Source organism: Homo sapiens, chromosome 1 (assembly GCF_000001405.40).
Source record: "Homo sapiens chromosome 1, GRCh38.p14 Primary Assembly".
Taxonomy (NCBI): domain Eukaryota; kingdom Metazoa; phylum Chordata; class Mammalia; order Primates; family Hominidae; genus Homo; species Homo sapiens.
The window spans coordinates 19,769,122-19,788,174 of record NC_000001.11 but is presented as its reverse complement, the minus strand read 5'-3'; the positions used below and the strand labels follow the sequence as shown (position 1 = coordinate 19,788,174).

The following is a 19,053-nucleotide window of genomic DNA, read 5'->3' as shown; positions in this document are numbered from 1 at the left end:
TGGGGAGGAACGCAACATCCAGGAGAAGGGTGTTCCCACTGATAACTTAATAAAAACCCCACTGAAGCTTAAAGAGGTAAAAAGTATTGTTTTCACTAGCATTGAAAATGGCACTAAGGGCTGGGTGCAGTGGCTCACGCCTGTAATCCTAGCACTTTGGGAGGCTGAGGCAGGCAGATTGCCTGAGCTCAGGAGTTCCAGACCAGCCTGGGCAACATGGCAAAACCCCGTCTCTACTAAAAATATGAAAAATTAGCCAGGCATGGTGGTGCGTGCCTGTAATCCCAGCTACTCAGGAGGCTGAGGCACAAGAATCACTTGAACTTGGGAGGCGGAGGTTGCAGTGAGCTGAGATTGCACCACTGCACTCCAGCCTGGGCGACAGAGCAAAACTGTCTCAAAAAGAAAGAAAGAAAAGAAAAAGAAAATGGCACTAAGGATGAAGCTCAAATTAGTTGAGGTTTTGGTTTTGAAGTTTTGGTTTGAAGTTGCGGTTTTGGGTCCTGAGACCTCCTTTGGGTAATTCCAGATGCTTGGCCCTTCCTCCATCTCCCTTCCCCATCTGATGCTCCATTGGCATGTGAGAAAGGGAGTGCCTTTAGGGAGAAATATAGGAAAATCTAGCTCTTGCTTAAGCCTGAAAGCTAGTTCATTCCTCGGTTCATGTAACTGACATTTTCTGAGTGCCCACTCTGTGGTTAGGCACCAGGTACAGATGTGGAGGCGACAGGGTGCCCGCTGAGGAACTGGATGCAGTGACCACAGCTCAGGGTACAGAGAGTTGAACAAGGACATTCAATGAGACAATCCATGGAAAGTGGCAGGGCCGTGCCCAGCACATGGTGAGTGCTCAGCAGTGGTAGCTGCCTGCCCTACCACCCTATTGAGAAGAGCACCCCACGTCAAGGAACGTGCAGGGCAAGGGCCCAGGGGAGCGACGGTGCAGTGCCAGGCTCCCCTGAGCTTTAACTGACCAGCCAGCTCCCTCTGCCGTAGCCTCCCCCAGATCTCACACTCCGTGGACCCACAGGCTGGTTTTTCTGGTTTTCTCCCGCAGGGCAATTTGCATATTTCTCCAAAGAACCATCCAGAACCTGAGCAGCCTGTCTTCAGACAGAGAGAGGCCCACGGCTGTTTCTTGAAATCTGGGTAAGTATTGAAGGTTTCTTTTCCTTCAGTAGCCCCTTATTACTATTTAAAATGGTCTTCTTTCTGAGTTCACATTTTCTGTCTCCCTCTCTAGAATATAATCTCCCAATTAAGGGGTCTTTATATGCCTGTCTTAGTCACCACTGTAGTAGGGCTAATACGTGTTTATTAGATTCATTTAACCCGTTAAGAGGTCAATATTCATTTATGTTTTACTTTTGCCTCAAGAAAAGGTTTTTAAAATTCTTTAGAGATGTTCGACTACTTTTTAAAAAAATTTTTATTTTAAAATAATTATAGGCTCACAGGAAGTTGCAAATATAGTACCAAGAGGTTCCATGCACCCTCATTCAGCCTCCCGCATGGCCGTTGCCTTTACAAGGAAGCCTAATTCCTTAGTGAGACGAACTTGGCCCTGCCTGGGGCAGCCCTTGGCAGCTTCTACTCCCACCTCATTTCTTCACGCCCACCCATTGTCCAAGCCCTGGCCGCACCAAACATCTTTTTGGTTCTTCTAAAGTGTTTCTCCTCTACCTCTGGGTCTTGACACATGCTTTTCCCTTTGTCAAAGACGTGCCCACCCCACCCCTGTCTGATTCACTCCTTGTTCAGGTCGCAGCTTTACCATCACCTTCTCCAGGGAGCCAGTGCTGGGTTCAGGGTCCCCATCTTGGGATCCCTCTGACTCTCATGTTTCCCCTGTCATGGTGTTTATCACACGGGTTGTTGTTGTCTGTTTTTTCTGTTTGTTCTGGTTTATTTTTCTTTGAGAGACAGGGTCTTGCTCTGTCACCAGGCTGGAGGGCAATAGTGCGATCACGGCTCGCTGCAGCCTCAAATTCCTCAGACTCCTGGGCTTAAGCGATGCTCCTGCCTCATACTCTTGAGTAGCTGGGACCACAGGTATGCTCCACCATGCCTGGCTAATTTTTAAAATATTATTATTTTTGTAAAGACAGGGTCTCACTTTGTTGCCCAGGCTCCTGCAGTCCTCCTGCCTCAGCCTCCGAAAGCTCTCGGATTACAGGCGTGAGCCACTGTGCCCAGCCACCATTGTCTGTGTATTTGTCTGTCTCTACCACCATACTGTTTCCTCTAAGGAATACCTCTCCACCCAGCCTGTGACTTCTGCAGGCCTCTGCTGGAATGACACCTTTCATCCACATACAGTAGCCAGCCCTGCTTCACCCCATCACTTCATATCCCCTCACCCTGCCTCACTGTTCCTCCCCCTGACCACTTCCTGAAGGAATGCTTAGTTAGCTATGTGTTGAGTGGGCTGCTGAGGGCATGGATTCTGCAACCAGACCTCCTGAGTGTGTGTCTCGGTTCTACTGCTTATTAGCTCTGTGACCTTGACCAACTTAGGTCGCTTTGTCATTATGTATTGGCATATTATTGCCTGTCTCCCACCAGAATGTAAGCCCCTTAAGAGCAGGGAACTTGTCAGTTTCATCCTCTGATCTGCCCTAAGGCCCAGAACAGGGCTTCCCACATCCTAGCCCCTTCTTCATTCATCCAGCAAGTATTTCCTGAATGCCTACAGTGATCCAGGTCCTGTCCAGAAAGCTCGGGGTGTGGCAGTGAAAAAACAACCAGGGAACTGCCTCGTACACACAGGTAAACAAATAAGTAAAACAAAACAAAACAAAAGAAACAAACAAAAAAACATTATTTTAGGTAAGAATGAGTAGTATAAAAATAGAACAGGGTGCTGAGATAGAAGACAAAGATATTAGGTTGGTGCAAAGTAATTGTGGGTCTTGCTATTAAATTGCAAAAACCACAGTTACTTTTGCACCAACCTAATACTGTAGCCTGGGTGGTCAGGGAAGGTCTCTCAGAGGAGGTGACATCTGGGCTGAGGCCAGATGATGTGATGGTCAGGGAAGGGTGGTCCCAGCAGGGAGAATGGCAGGTGCAAGGGCCTGGAGGGAATGAGCAGAAAGACAGCCAGTGTGGCTGTAGCGTAGTGAACAAGACCGGTGTGGGGACATGAGATGGAGTTCAGTGGCAGGCAGCAACCGGATTGCACAGGACATTTAAGCTTGTCCAATCTTCGGCCTGTGGGCCACATATAGCCCAGGACAGCTTTGAATGCGGCCCAACACAAATTCATAGACTTTCTTAAAACATTATGAGGTTGTCTTGCGAAATTTTTTTTTTTTTTTTTTTTTTTTAGTGCATCAGCTATCATTTAATGTTAGTGTATTTCATGTGTGGCCCAAACCAATTCTTCTTCCAGTGTAGCCCAGGGAAGCCAAAAGATTGGACACCCCTCTTAGGCCATCATACCAAGATTGGAATTTATCCTGATGTGATGGGAGGCTTTTGCAGGCTTTTAAGCAACCTAGTGACATGACTGGTCTATGTGACAAAAAGGTCACTGAGGCCACTATGTAGAGAATGCATTGTAGGGCATCAGGAGAAATTGTGTTGAATGAATGAATGAATTTGGTCTGAGTTTAGCTTTATTATTATTATTATTTTGTTAGATGGAGTCTTGCTCTGTTGTCCAGACTGGAGTGCAGTGGCACAATCTCAGCTCACTGCAACCTCTGCCTCCCAGATTCAGGTGATTCTCCTGCCTCAGCCTCCCGAGTAGCTGGGATTACAGGCACACCCAACCATGCACAGTTAATTTTTGTATTTTTAGTAGAGACGGGGTTTCACTATGTTGGCCAGGCTGGTCTCAAACTCTTGACCTCAAGTGATCCACCCGCCTCGGCCTCCCAAAGTGCTGGGATTACAGGCGTGAGCTACCGCGCCCAGCCTGAGCTTAGCCTTTTGTACTCTAGACACATCCTCATACCTCTGTGGTTAGAAGCAGGCCAGCTTACCCTTCCCTGATCAGAAAGCTGTTTATTATTGAGCTAAGAACTGGCGTGGGGCTTCCCAGATACCAGTTCAGTAAAATACTACCTTGGGCTCCTCTGAGTAATAGGTGCGATCAATATAGCCTCCAAGTGGCACGTGGAGTTGATTAAATGTAGTGGAAATTTCTGACCTGCTGACATCAGGCTAGTGCTGCCCTTGGCACTGCCCTTAGTTCATGGTTTATGCTGTTGCCCCTGTTCCCACCACCATGGTCTGAGCTGACCCTCTGAGCCAGGGAAATTTGCTGCAAATCTCAAACGTGGGTTCCTAGAGCAACCATTGAGGCCAGTCTTGCTGGGTGACTTTGGGCGAGGTCTTAACCTCTCTGGGCCTCCGTTTCTCCATCTGAAACAGGGGAAATAAGATCCCTGTGCTGGTGTAGAGGAAAGAGCTCAAGGTTTGGAGTCAAAAGTCTGGTTTGGATCTCATCACTTACTGTGTAAGTTTGGGAAAATTGCTTGGTCTTTCTGAGCCTGTTCCTCGGTTGTAAGAGGGAATCGTAATGGTTCATGTCCTACTTAACTTTACATGGTAGTTATAAGAATTAAGCAGACTGGAAAATGCTTTGTAAACAGTTATGTGCTGTAAAAGTGTTGGTTTGTTGCTTTGAACTACCTCAGGGTTGTTTTGAAAACAAATGAAATATTAGTTGTGGACAGACTTTTAAATAACTCCTCTACAGAAGTAATATTTTGAGAACAAAAATTTTTATTGCTCAGCTAGATGGGAACAAACTTATGAACAAATAACTGTTTGGAGTGTGGTTATTAGACTAGAAGACTCCTGGCCATGTGATGAATATTTAAAACAGAGTTGGTGGCCAACAGTTCTGTCTTTGGGCCCTATATGTCTGCCATTGACTGGCTGTATCAGGGGAGCCCAGTTACTTCTCTGAGCCTGTTTCCTAATTTGCAAACTGAACATTACAGTCCTACTTGCCTCTAGAGTCTGCTGAGACAATGCATGTTAAAATTGCAACCCCAGTGCCCTACACCCAGTAATAACTCAGTAATGTTAGGTCTTGTTATTATTAAACCTTTGCTATGTGCCAGGCACCATGCCAAGCATTTTACTTATTTGTTTGTTGATCATTTTGTGCCTTTATTTTTTAAACAAGCATTTATATAGCATGAACCCTGTGCCAGGCTCTATTCTAGGTGCTTTACGAGTACTAAGCCACATGGGCTGTGTCCTTTACTACTGACACAGCTCTTCTAGGTAGATACTGTATGGTCCCATCTGTAGGTGAAGAAATCTAAGTACAGAGAGGTTGAGTTGCCTAGGGTCCCATATCTAATAAGTGGCGGTGCTTGTTTTCACGCCCAGGTCTGTCTGGTCCTGAGCCTGCATTCATATCCTTGATCCCCTGTAGTAGAGGCTGGCACCCTTCCCTGTACCCTTCCTGGTGGCTCCCAGGGTTCTTTCTGCTTCTTGGATGCCTTCTTGGCGTGTCCCCTCTCTCCTTTTCTCTCCCTCCTCTTCCTACTCTTCTCCTCCCTTTCCCTTTTCCCCCTGGGAAGGAAGGAAAGAATAGAGGGAAGGAAAAGAAGGAGGGAGAACAAAGAGGAGACCTTCCTCCCTTTTTTTCCTTCTTCCTTCCTTCCTTTGAGGTATACCATACACAAAGTGCATAAATATTAACTATACAGTTCAGGGAATTTTTAAATATATTTATACCCATATGATGACCACCCAGGTCAAGATAGAGATCATTTCCTTCACCCAGAAACCTCCTTTGTACCCATTCTGAGCCAATACTCCCTCCCACATGTAACCCCTCATCTGACTTCCATCACCATACATTGGGTTTAGCATTTTTCAGTTTCATATAAAGGGAATCCCATGGTAGGTACTCTCTCGTGAATGGCTTTCTGTGTATCATTTTGTCTGAGATTCATTCATGTTTGCTGTAGTTCATTCCCTTTCCATTGCTGTGTAATGTTTCACAGTATGAATATGACCATTTATCCATTCTACTGTGATAGACGTGTGGGTTGTTGCCAGTTTGGGACTATTGTGAATGAAGTTGCTGTGAGCATTCATGTATGTGTCTTTTCGTGACTTAAGTCCTCATTTCTCAGGAGTGGAATTGCCAGAGCATAGGGAAGACATATGTTTAGCTTTAGTGGATATTGTCAAACCATTTTCCAAATAGTTATACCAATGTACACTCCCACCAGCAGTGTATGAAAGTTCTGTTTGCAGCCAGGCGTGGTGGCTCATGCCTGTAATCCCAGCACTTTGGGAGGCCAAGGCGGGCGGATCACGAGGTCAGGAGATGGAGACCATCCTGGCTAACACAGTGAAACCCCGTCTCTACTAAAAATACAAAAAGTTAGCCAGGTGTGGTAGTGGGCGCCTGTAGTCCCAGCTACGCGGGAGGCTGAGGCAGGAGAATGATGTGAACCCAGGAGGCGGAGCTTGCAGTGAGCCAAGATCGTGCCACTGCACTCCAGCCTGGGCGACAGAGCGAGACTCCATCTCAAAAGAAAAAAAAAAAAAAAAAAGAAAGTTCTGTTTGCTCTTCATCCTCACCAGCACTTGGTATTCTCAGTCTTTTTAGTTTTAGCTATTCTGATAGGTGAGAGTTAGTGTCTCATTGGGATTTTAATTTCCATTTCTCTGATGACTAACGATGTTGAACATCTTTTCATACTTATTGGCTATTGGGTTTTTTTTTTTTTTAAGAGACAGGGTTTCATTCTCTAGCCCACGCTGGAGTGCAATGATCATAGCTCATTGCAGCCTTAAACTCCTAGGCTTAAGCAATCCTCTCACCTTAGCTTCCTAAGTAGCTGGAACTACAGGCGTGTGCCACCATGCCCAGCTAATTATTTTATTTTATTTTTCTGTAGAGATGGAGTCTCACTATGTTGCCCAGGCTGGTCTTGAACTCCTGGGCTCAATCAGTCCTCCTACCTCGGCTTCCAAAAGTGCTGGGATTAGAGGCATGAGCCACCATACCTGGCCTGAGGAATATCTTTTTTTTTTTTTTTTTTTTTTTGAGATGGAGTCTCGCTCTGTCAGCCAGGCTGGAGTGCCGTGGCGCGATCTCGGCTCACTGTGGAATCTCTTTTATGAAGTATCTATTCAAGTCTTTTGCCCATTTTTAAATTTGCTTCGTTTCTTTTTCTTAATGACTTACTGGAGTTAGTTGTTTGGATACTGTGTATAGACCTTTGTGGATAGACATATTGAAGATCCCTCCCTCCATCCTGGTCTGTAGTGTGTGTTCTCACTCTCCTAAAGGTGATGAAAAGAAGTTCTTCATTTTAATGATGCCTACTTTATCAACCTTTTATGGTTTGTAAGTTCTGTGTCATGCTTAAGTAACCTTGGCTTACCTCTGGAAGCATTTCTCACTGGGAATTTTCTCCTGCAGCGCTGGGAATGGCCATGTGGAACAGGCCATGCCAGAGGCTGCCTCAGCAGCCTCTGGTAGCTGAGCCCACTGCAGAGGGGGAGCCACACCTGCCCACGGGCCGGGAGCTGACTGAGGCCAACCGCTTCGCCTATGCTGCCCTCTGTGGCATCTCCCTGTCCCAGTTATTTCCTGAACCCGAACACAGGTGAGTTCTTCTGTCTTGCAGTGGGAAGGTCATGCTTCTTCAGGGGAACAACTACGGACAGCCAAACAGCCTGCCAGGCACGATGAGGCAATGCAGAGAGGGGCAAGTCATTGTCCTTGCCTCTAACGCAGGGGTCTCTAACCTCCAGGCCGTGGACCAGTACTGGTCTGTAGCCTGTTAGGAACCTGGCCGCACAGCAGGAGGTGAGTGGTGGGTGAATGAGAATTACTGCCTGACCTCTGCCTCCTGTTCTAAGCATTTTATGAATACTAAGCCACATGGGCTGTGTCCTTTGCTACTGACACAGCTCTTCCAGGTCCACACTGTATGGTCCCATCTGTAGATGAAGAAATCTAAGTGCAGAGAGGTTGAGTTGTGGCAGCATTAGATTCTCATAGAAGCTCAAACCCTATCGTGAACTGCGCACGCGAGGGATCTAGGTGGCACGCTTCTTATGAGAATCTAACTAACGCCTGATGATCTGAGGTGGAACAGTTTCATCCTGAACCCTACCTGCGCCGGGTCCCTGGAAAAATTGTCTTCCCTGAAACCAGTCCCTGGTGCCAAAAAGGTTGGGGACTGCTGCTCTAAGGAACTCACAATCTGGTGGGGGGATAAGACATCCCCTCATTCAGTTATTCACTCATTTATACCTTCACCGAACATTTTTTGAGCACTTACTGTATTCCAGGTATGATTTGAAGTACATGGAGGGTAAATGTGAATGAGACAGATACCATCCCCCAATCAAGTAGGACACCGTCCAGGAACGGATAAGATATTAATATTTATTCATTCATGAAACATGCATTTGTTGAGCCCCTACTATGTGCTGGGTGTAGCACATGGCCCTGTGGAGGAAACAAAGACGAGCAAGGCCCAGCTCCTGCCCTCAAGGTGCTTACATCTAGGTAGGGGTGCCCAGGTGGCTGATTGTAACAGGGGACAGATACAGATGAGTGAGTGCTGTGATGAGTTTAAACGGGGTCGTGGGAGCAAAAGAATGACATCGTTATATTTCATCTCTATCATTGACAGTACCTCCCATGTGTGTGTTTAAATCACATATTTGGAGTCAGAATAGCAGAACTGTTAAGAGCATGGGCTTTGACCTTAAAAAATTCTAGAGGGGAGAGTATGGAGGCAGGAGGGGGCCAGTTAGGAGGCCAACGGAGTCATCCAGGGGAATGAGGACAATGACCGAGTGGTGGACAGAGGACACAGATGGGACAGACTTTTCTCAGGGAGAATGGAGTTGACTTGGGAAGAGGTTGAGTGTTGCGGGTGAGGCAGAGGCAGGAGCTCACTATGGCTCCAAAGGTTCAGAGGGGGAAGAGAGCGTAGGAGCACTGAGATACCGTTACTAGGACAGGGAGCACAAGACTTGGGCCAGGAGATGGTGAGAAGCTCTTGCATCTGCAGTGTTTTCAAGACACGGCCCCCACATACACTCAGTGGTCCCCCATGAGTAAACTTCCTTCATGCCTTGGGTCTTAGCTGTTTGGGGTTTTTGTTTTTCTGTCTTTGTCTGTCCACTGGACTGAACAGTTGAACATACTCAACTCCTTGGGGGTTACCGCCAGGAAGCCTTCCCTTATCTGTCCTCCAGACCAGGGCATTGTTCCACCTGTATGCCCAGCGACCCATCTCTGCAACCACCACACTGTGCAGGAACTCTCCATACCTGCTACCCCTCCAGTCTGAGCTCGGGAGGGCAGGGGCTACCTTGTTCATCTCAGAGTTCCCAGTGCCTTGCACACAGCTCAGTATAGCAAAGATACCTGGTAAAGGTTCGTGAAAAGAAGAGGTAGGTTAATGCTGGCTTTGTCAACAAGGAGATGGTCCATAGGCTCTGGACTCAGATCTGGGTTCAAATCTTAACTCTGCCACTTTCCAGTCTCATGTGACCTCGAGCAGTTTATTTAACTTCCCTAAGCCTCAGTTTATTTATCTGTAGAATGGGGCTAATGATACCCATGCTGCAGGGTGATTGCAGGAATTAAATGAGATGATGTAGCCGGGTGCAGTGGCTCACGCCTGTAATCCTACCACTTTTGGCAGGTGGATCGCCTGTGCTCAGGAGTTTGAGACCAGCCTGGTCAACATGGTGAAACCCCATCTCTACTAAAAATACAAAAATTAGCCAGGCATGGTGGTGCACACCTGTGGTCCCAGCCACTCAGGAGGCTGAGGCAGGAGAATCGCTTGAACCCGGGAGGCAGAGGTTGCAATGAGCCAAGATCGTGCTACTGCACTCCAGCCTGGGCAACAGAGCAAGACTCTGTCTCAAAAATAAATAAATAAATAAATAAATAAATAAATAAATAAATAAATATAAATAATGAGATGATGTAGACAAAGCACACAGCACAGTGCCTAGCACATAGTAGGCACTCAATAAATGGTAGTGGTTGCTTGCTGAATCTCTGAGTTACTTTCTTTGCCCTAGTTGTTTCTTCATCCAGAAAATGAAGATAATACCACACTTACTCCTACCACTTAGGATATTTTTGTGGTTTTTTGGTTGTTTAATTTTTGTTTTTTAGAGATGGGGTCTCAGTCACCCAGGCTGGAGTACAGTGATACAGACATAGCTCACTGTAACCTCAAACTCCTGGGCCCAAGTGGTCTTCCCCCACCCCAGCCTTCTGAGTAGCTGGGACTACAGATGCATGCCACCATGCCTGGCTAACTTTTTATTCTTCTAGAGACAGAGTCTCACAATGCTGCCTGGGCTGGCCTCAAGCAGTCCTCCCATCTCAGCCTCCCAAGTAGCTGAGATTACAGGTTCAAGCCACTATGCCCAGCAGTCAGGCTACAAGTAATAGAACACAGTACTAAGAGAGATTTAAACAACAGGAGATTTGTTTTTTTCACTTAACAAGAAATCCCAAGGTTCCAGGGTTGATTCAGTGCCTCAAGAGGTTTTTGGCGCTGGGCGCAGTGGCTTACGCTGTAATCCCAACACTTTGGGAGGCCGAGGCATGTAGATCACATGAGGCCAAGAGTTCAAGACCAGCCTGGCCAACATGGCAGAACCCCGAATCTATTAAAAATATAAAAATTAGCCAGACGTGAGTGGTACACACTGACAATCCCAGCTACTAGGTAGGATGAGGCACAAGAATCACTTGAACCTGGGAAGCAGAGGTTGCAGTGAGCTGTGATCGTGCCACTGCACTCCTGCCTGGGTGACAGGGTGAGACTCTGTCTCAAAAAAAAAAAAAAAAAAGGCCTTTGGGTTGGCTTCTGAACAGTTCTGTTGGCCTTCCCCTCCTGATCACAAAATAGCTGCTGCAGCTCCATACATCACACCCTCACAGGACAAGGCCCAAGGCAGGAAGGAAGAGGGCAGAGGGCAGGGATTCTCCCCAAGTCTCCCGTCAGGGAGGACATCTTTCCCAAAATACCCCGAGAAGCCAAGAAGCCTTCCTTTGGTGTCATTGGCTAGATCCTGTCACGTGCCCAACCTGCAGGTACAGGTACAGGGAAGCCTGGGAACAAATAGAGGCTTTTGCTGTTTTCTTTTCTTTTTTTTTTTTTTTTTTTTTTTGAGACAGTGTCTCGTTCTGTGGCCCAGGCTGGAGTGCAGTGGTGTGATCTTGGCTCACTGCAACCTCTGCCTCCTGGATTCAAGCAATTCTCTTGCCTCAGCTTCTTGAATAGCTGGGATTACAGGCGCACGCCACCATGCCTGGCTAATTTTCGTATTTTTAGTACAGACGGGGTTTCACCGTGTTGGCCAGGCTAGTCTTGAACTCCTGACTTCAAGTGATCTGCCCACCTTGGCCTCCAAAGTGCTGGGATTACAGGCGTGAGCCACCGCGGCCGCCTGGCTTTTGCTGTTTTCAACCTCCATCATGGGAGATGAGTTCTGCCAGCCAGGAAGAAGGGGCTGGGGAATTACTGTTTCAGAGAAGCTGTTGGCAACACCATCCAAGAGGGTGATTGTAAGGAGGGTATGTGTTGATGGCCCTTGCAGAACCTGACACCAAACTACTACCAAGCAAATATTGGTTGGTCTTGTTGTTAATAATGAAACTCCTACCTGATAAACCAGTACCTAGCCAAGGAAGAGCTTTGTGTACTTTGTTTCCATGAACAAATGTTTATGAATCTGGACTGTGTGCCAGGCCCATACTAGGCGCTACTTAGGAGGGCACATAAGGCAGCGAGTTACTGTCCTGTGTCTCCCACCCCCACTCCACAATATCCAAGCGTTGTTATAAACACAGGTGGCTGTTGCCTGGCCATAAGCATTTGCCGTGGAGTGTTTCCTTCTCGAATGTTTCCCGTTCAGTATGCCGGTTGTTTCCACATGGTTGCTCTGTTTTCTGATGCACAAAACATGTTTTTTAAAAACCTCAATATTGGCCGAGTGTGGTGGTTCATGCCTGTAATCCCAGCACTCTGGGATGCTGAGGCGGGCAGATCACTTGAGGTTAGGAGTTTGAGACCAGCCTGGCCAACATGGTGAAACCCTGTCTCTACTAAAAATACAAAGATTAGCCGGATGTGGTGGTATATGCCTGTAATCCTAGCTACTTGGGTGGCTGAGGTAGAAGAATCGCTTGAATCCGGGAGGTGGGGGTTGCAGTGAGTCGAGATCATGCCACAGCCTGGGCGACAGAGCGATACTCCATCTCAAAAAATAAAACTAATAAACAAAATAAATAAATACCTCAATATTTTTAAAGCCCAGATATGCTCTTGGTTTTAGTAATCTTTAGAAAACACTGTGTGGCCGTTCTTGATCCCACAGGATATAAAAGCAACCCTCTAAAACATTTATTTCTTTTCCATGCTGTGAACATCACAGATGCTGTTCCCTTTAATTAATTCCATTGATCAAACATGGAGAAATTAATGGGGTACAGCAGGGATGGACAGACGTCTTCTGCCAAGGGCCAGTTATTTTAGGCATGCAGGCCTGGCAGTCTCTGTCACAGTTACTCATACCTTTCCCGTGATAGCACAAAAGCAGCCACAGACAGTAGGTGAAATAATGCATGTGGCTGTGTTTCAATAAAACTTTACTCACAAATAAGGGCTGCAGGCAAGATATGGCTGGTTAGCTGTAGTTTTCTAAGCCCTGGTGAGTGGGAGGAGCTTTGGACTAGGAATCAGGAAGCCTGGATTCCAGGGAAGGCTTTGTCCTGTCCCTGCTGTAAGAACTTTGAGAAGACATTTAACCAGCAGTCCTGGCCAGGCGCGGTGCCTCATGCCTGTAGTCCCAGCACTTTGGGAGGCCGAGGCGGGTGGATCACCTGAGGTCAGGAGTTCAAGACCAGCCTGGCCAACATGGTGAAATCTCATGGCGAAACCTTGTCTCTACTAAAATTACAAAATTAGATGGGTGTGGTGGTGCACATCTGTAATCCCAGCTACTTGGGAGGCTGAGGCAGGAGAATCGCTTGAACCTGGGAGGCAGAGGATGCAGTGAGCCAAGATCGTGCCATTACACTCCAGCCTGGGCAACAAGAGTGAAATTCTGTCTCAAAAACAAACAAACAAACAAACCAAACCCAGCAGGCCAGGTGCGCCCTGTGTAAGATGGGGTAGGATGAAAGGGGATGTTTGATGCCCTTGCTCAGTGAGTGGCCCGTGCATGGTGGGTGCTCAGGGACATAACCACTGGAGTGGGGTAACCTCTGCAGCTGGTATGCATAGCCTCTGGGGTCCCAGAGATGTAGGCGTGAATCTGGAGCTGTCACTTAACCTCTCTGGATCTAGGATTCCTTATCTCTAGAGTAGTGTAAACTAGTACCTCCCTTAACTAGTACCTCCCTTCCTCATGGGGTCATGGTGAGAATTAAGTAACTCAAGGTGTACGAAGCTCTCAGCACAGGGACTGACGGACAGTTGCTCTACAATTGTTATCTGCTGTCATTGTTGCTGTTGATTTTCCTGTATTTCCACCAGACCAACAAACACATTAGTAGCAATTATCAAGGCCCTGCCGATCTAAAATGCTACTTGTTATTTGGTAAATTGCTGTGCTGGCACTTTGCATATATATTTTTTTTAATTCATTTGTCTATGGAAAGAAACACATTACTCTCTAGTGCTTTGTAGGTGCCAGGTATTGTTCTAAGCACATGACAAATACTTACTTAGTTAATCCTTTCAACAACCCTATGAAATACCTTTCATCATCTCCACTGTTTTACAGATAAGGAAACTAAGGCCCAGAGAGGTGAAGTCACTTGTCCAAGATCACACAGCTCATGGTAGAGCTGGGATTTGAACCAGTCTGTGCTCTTTGCCCCTGCACTCTCGTTAAGAGTTGCTTCTCCATATCCAAAACTTTCTTCGTGGACAGCAGGACCAGGCCATGCTGTAGTCCTTGGCCCTGAGCCCTTTCTGTATATAAATTTGCTTCTAAGTAACGTTTGGTTTACTTAGCCATCCCCTCCCCAAATACATACCTCATTACCACCCCAAGGTAATCCCAGTAAATTGCAGTGGGGCAAATTATAATCACTGTGGTAGCAGTAGCTAACATTTATCCAGGGTTCACTGGTGCCAGACAGTGTTACCATGCCATTTAACCTGCCCAACTCACCTGTGAGGCAGGTCCTGTTATTATCCACATGTTATCTCAGAGGGAAATGAAGCTGAGAGGTAAAGTGAGGACACAAAGCCAATTTCCAGGGGAACCAGGACTCCCCCAGGTGGTTGGACTTCAGAGTCCAACTCTTAACCCCATCCTCCACTGCCTCCCTCTGCCACCTTGTAAATCAAAATAACGATACTAGCTAACATCGTTTTTAGTCTCATGTAGTTGAGCCTCTACTACATGCCAGGCTCACTTTCGGCCCTTTATATTTATCATCTCACTTCATCCTCAACCAACCTTATGAAGTTGGTCTCTTGAACCCATTTTGCAGATAAGGACACTGAGGCACAGAGAGGCCATTACACTTTCCCAAGATGCTCTCTGCTAAGATTCCTCTTCAAGAATGAAGGCCTTTCACCCCCAGCTGCTGGCAAGGCTGCCAGCACAGCCCTGAGCTGTCTGTACCTTTTTGGGCCTGCCTCAGCTGAAGGGAGCCACGTTGCCTGAGGTTCTGTCCCCTCCCTGGGGCACCTGCATCCGGTAACTGGCTGATGCACAGCTGTAAAGGCCTGGCCCTCTCACCCCGCTGGAGACAGTTCCGAAGTGTCATCCCATCTTTAGAACTCCCTGCAGGGGCTGCTGAGACCTCCCTTGAGACTGTATCATAGCTCAGCTGCCTCCTCTGCCCAACCCTGCTTCCTCCCTTCCCTCCCCAGGGTGTTGATCCCAAGGGGAGCCCTAATCATCTCATTTCAGGGCAGCTTCCCAGGAACCCGACCGTAACAGTGGTGAGGCCGGGATTTAGTTTACTTTTTTATTTTTATTTATTTTTGAGACAGAGTCTCACTCTGTCACCCAGGCTGGAGTGCAGTGGTGCGATGTCAGTTCACTGCAACCGCCGCCCCTGGGTTCAAGCGACTCTTGTGCCTCAGCCTCCTGAATATATGGGACTACAGGTACATGCCACCACGCCCAGCTAATTTTTGTACTTTTAGTAGAGGCGGGATTTCACCATGTTGGCCAGGCTGGTCTCGAACTCCTGACCTCAGGTGATCCACCCAGCCCCACTTCTCAAAGCGTTGGGATTACAGGCGTGAGCCACTGCGCCCGGCTGAGGCTAGGATTTAAACCCAAGTTCCTCACAACTCCCATCAAGGTCTCGGTCCCACTCTAAGGAATGTGATAGCTGGGTCATGTGGTGCAAGGGCAGGGGGCTCCTGACATTGCCTCTACCACCTGGGAGCTCTGCTTGTTTCTGAGAGGCCTGAGTGCAGCCTCTGCCCTACAGGGCAGAACCCAGTGTTGGAGTCCCAAGGCAATGTGGTTTGAGGCAGGCTGGGACTCTGATTTTGGAGACAGACCTGGCTTCTGGGTGTCAGCCCTTTCCCGGGAGTGGTATAATCGACTTCTAAGTGACTCTCCTGGCCCACCTGCCACCCGGCTCACACCTGCTCCACAGAGGTGGCTGTGTCAGAAGTCTGGTGTGGACTCTGCCATCATCCCCCCAAATGCTCTGGGCTCCCCACCTCTGTGTCTCAGCTCAAAGGCTTCCTTCTCCCCTAGAGCGGCCCCATCCCATCCTCCCCTGGGGACTCCTGTAGGACTGCACTCAGATGCCCACTATGGACAGAGACTGGCGGTGGCAGTGCACGTGGAGGGCACTCTTCCCTTCACTTCTTCCACTTTTGCAGCAGCCAGCGTTTTCCAGAAAGCACGTCCTTGGCAGCATCCAGGAGAGCAGATGGCCTTCTCTGGGAAGCCTTTTCTGGTGGCTGCCGTCACTTCTGCAGGTGGATCCGGGGCTCCCTCTGTGGGCTGCACTGAACTGATCTCCACCTCTGTCCTAGGGTACCACACGGCTCTAGAGTCACTTGGTTACTTGAGCATCCACCCTGCTGTGAGCTTCCTCAGATACCAGGTTTTTCACCTTTATTCGTCGCCCCTGGCACAGCCCAGGCCCAAGGCATGCAACCAGTCACCATCCATTGCTGTCATTGCTGTGGCTTATCAGCCTCTTTGATAAACATTTTGGTGAGAGAAGAAACCAAAATCCACATCACCCAGGCTGGGCACGGTGTCTCACGCTTGTAATCCCAGCACTTTGGGAGGCCGGGGCGGGTGGATCACCTGAGGTCAGGAGTTCAAGACCAGCCTGGCCAACATGGTGAAATCCTGTCTCTACTAAAAATACAAAAAAATAGCCAAGCGTGGTGGCGGGCACCTATAGTCCCAGCTACTCGGGAGGCTGAGGCAGGAGAATCACTTGAACCCGGGAGGCAGAGGTTGGGATGAGCCAAGATTGCACGACTGAACTCCAGCCTGGGCAACAAGAGCGAAACTCCATCTCAAAACAAAAACAAAAAACAAAATTTACATCACCCAAGATGAGGTCTTTGACTGCCTCTGTATTTGAGGGATCACAGTCAGTAAGTCAGGCACGTGCCAGCTGTTCACATCCGTGACCACAACTAATCTACACTGCCCAGTGGAGGCTGAGCTCTGAGGATCCTGGAGAACTAAGCCATGTCTGCCTTTCAGCTCCTTCTGCACAGAGTTCATGGCAGGCCTGGTGCAGTGGCTGGAGTTGTCTGAAGCTGTCTTGCCAACCATGACTGCTTTTGCGAGCGGCCTGGGAGGTGAAGGAGCAGATGTGTTTGTTCAAATTTTACTGAAGGACCCCATCTTGAAGGACGACCCGACGGTGATCACTCAGGTACACCCAACACCTGGTGGTGGCTGCTGGGGACAGTAGAACAAATCATTTTCTTTCAATGTTAGCCTAAAAAATCACTTCTAGTGGGGTGGAGCAGTTGGAAGATAAAATATGTCATCATAATATCATATCATGATCATAGCTGATGTTGAATTATCATTATTGAATATTTACTCTTAATGCTGATTACGTGCTGGTTCCTTTTCAAAAACTAACTCATCTAATTCTTGAAGTGACTTTATGAGGTAAGTGGTAGGGCCATCCCCATTTCATAGTTGAGGAAACTGAGACACAGAGAGGTTAAGTAACTTGCCCAAGGTCACACAGCTGATAAGTGGTGGAGCCAGGATTTGAACCTTGGTAGTCTGACTCCAGAGCCCGCATTCTTCTAAGCTGTGGCACCTCTTTTCAGAAGCAGAAGCTTCACTGTATGCCCTTGAGCATGTCACTCACCAGCTATGCCTGCAGTTAAAGCAGATAGAAGCTTGTGACGCAGACTGTTGGTAGGGAAAGTAAGTGGATTTAAAATAGCCCCTTCCCCTCCTTATCTCACTACCTGAAGTCCTCATGTATTTCTTTCTTCGCTTGCCTGTTTATCATCTGGCTCACGTCTAGAATCTAGGGCAGTGGCTTTTTGTCTGTCTTGTTCTGCCACTTGGTAGGAGTCAATATTTGTCAAATGAGCGCGCTGTATCGTATATCAGCTTTGTCATTGATGCCTGTTGTCTTCTCCCTCAGGACCTTCTGAGCTTCTCACTCAAGGATGGTAAGTTGATTTTCTAAGCTCTGTAAATGGTGGGTACCCATCTGCACCCTTGGCTAGCAAAGCCAGTGAGAGGTGCCACCACCTGGGGCCGGGTCCCCCGTGGTCTTTTGACTTCAGGAAGGAAAGGAACCTGATGTCATTGGTGAGCTGGTGAGCCCTTCATTCATGCCAGGACTGTGTGGTGCTTCTCAGAGTTTATTTCACTTATTCCTCACAATAGGCCTATGGTTTTACCTCCTAAGTAACTCTCGAATCTGGTTCCTTCCCCTCTCCACCCAGGCCCCTGGTCTAAGCCACTGTCGCCCCTCCTGGATAACAGCAGGGCCTTCTCACTGGCCTTCCTGCCACCACTCTGGCCAGCAGTTTTCTCCCCACTCTGCAGCTAGAGTGTTCTTTTCAAAGGCCCACCTGACCACGCCACCTCCCTGCTAACTGCCTCGAAGTGGCTCCCTCTGCACTCAGGAGAAAAAAATCAGCCCCTCTGGTGTGGCTCTCAGGCCCTGGTGGGCTGACCCTTGTCCTGCTCCAGCCTCACCTCTGCTTTCAGTCCCCTTGCCGTGGGGCTTTCAGCCATGCCGGCCTCCGGCAGCTCCCTAAGCACGTGTGCTTTGTGGCTTTGCACGCACCCCAGGGCACGTATGCTTTGCGGCTTGCATCCCCGGCCCCCACACTGGTCCATGGTAAAACTGTCTTCCCCAAAACTGGTCCCTAGTGCCAAAAAGGTTGGAGACCACTGCTGTCTACCATTCCAGGATGCCTGCATTAAGCCACTATGCGGGCTGCCTCCTGAGCTCCTCCCCACCCCCACAGCTCCCGTCCAACTTCTTCCCACCAGCTCCTCTCTGCCAGGGCTTCCCTCTTATTGCATAAGTGGCTTCTTCTGTTCTCTAAACTGGGGAGACGCTTTTATGCAGTGACCTCTGATGTTTATTCTGATGGCAAGCAGGGAGGAAACACAACATAGAAGAAATTGCCAGCATCCTCCAAACCCTGTAATAGGGAAACTTTTGCCTGGCTCCCCACTGGAACCCTCCTAGTGGAAGGAGGAGGAGGAAGAGCAGAATTTCATAGTGGGAAGGAGCCACAGGGGAAGGTCAGCAGGGCAGCAGTGCAGTGGGCGGGCTTTGGGCCAGTTGGAAGCCTGAGGAGGGAGAGTGGGATGGATTTCACCTGGGCAGGTATGCAGATGGCCGGCTTCAGCAAGGAGAGCAGAGAGAGGAGGGGTGAGGGGCTGCCCCCGGTACCATTCTTCATGCTGCAGAACTGCTGCAGACCAGGTACAGAGAGTAGAAGGGAGAGGGCTCAGAAGTGACATCTCAGCCCTCAGATTCTAGTGGTCTGGCGCCAGCTGCAAGGGGACTGGGACTCTGTCTCAGGAATCCTAGCGTTTGTCTCCAGTGACCCTTTCAGGGCAGGTGGT

At 48.4% G+C, this 19,053-nt stretch overlaps 1 protein-coding gene across 17 annotated transcripts in view, besides 1 other annotated feature; it reads left to right on the top strand.

The window, feature by feature from the left end:
- The window catches only part of TMCO4 (transmembrane and coiled-coil domains 4), a 117,677-nt gene that overhangs the window by 11,742 nt on the left and 86,882 nt on the right, over window positions 1-19,053 (top strand). For 11 of the 17 annotated variants that reach the window (XM_011541185.4, XM_047416926.1, XM_011541181.2 and 8 more), the window contains 5 exons: window positions 1,058-1,149; window positions 2,696-2,769; window positions 7,409-7,595; window positions 16,693-16,867; window positions 17,606-17,633. In XM_011541185.4, the coding sequence (XP_011539487.1) occupies window positions 7,417-7,595; window positions 16,693-16,867; window positions 17,606-17,633 (382 nt within the window). In that variant the 5' untranslated portion in view covers window positions 1,058-1,149; window positions 2,696-2,769; window positions 7,409-7,416. Of the gene's footprint in view, window positions 1-1,057; window positions 1,150-2,695; window positions 2,770-7,408; window positions 7,596-16,692; window positions 16,868-17,605; window positions 17,634-19,053 lie in introns of those variants that run through there. The other 6 variants (NM_001349112.3, NM_181719.7, NM_001349113.3 and 3 more) reach the window with 2 other exon arrangements.
- Window positions 7,554-8,055: an enhancer, noted in NCBI's record as "H3K4me1 hESC enhancer chr1:20106613-20107114 (GRCh37/hg19 assembly coordinates)". NCBI's record gives its function as "activates a minimal SCP1, AML or CMV promoter by ChIP-STARR-seq in naive H9 embryonic stem cells {active_cell/tissue: H9 hESC(naive)}" and the evidence as "EXISTENCE:reporter gene assay evidence [ECO:0000049][PMID:30033119]".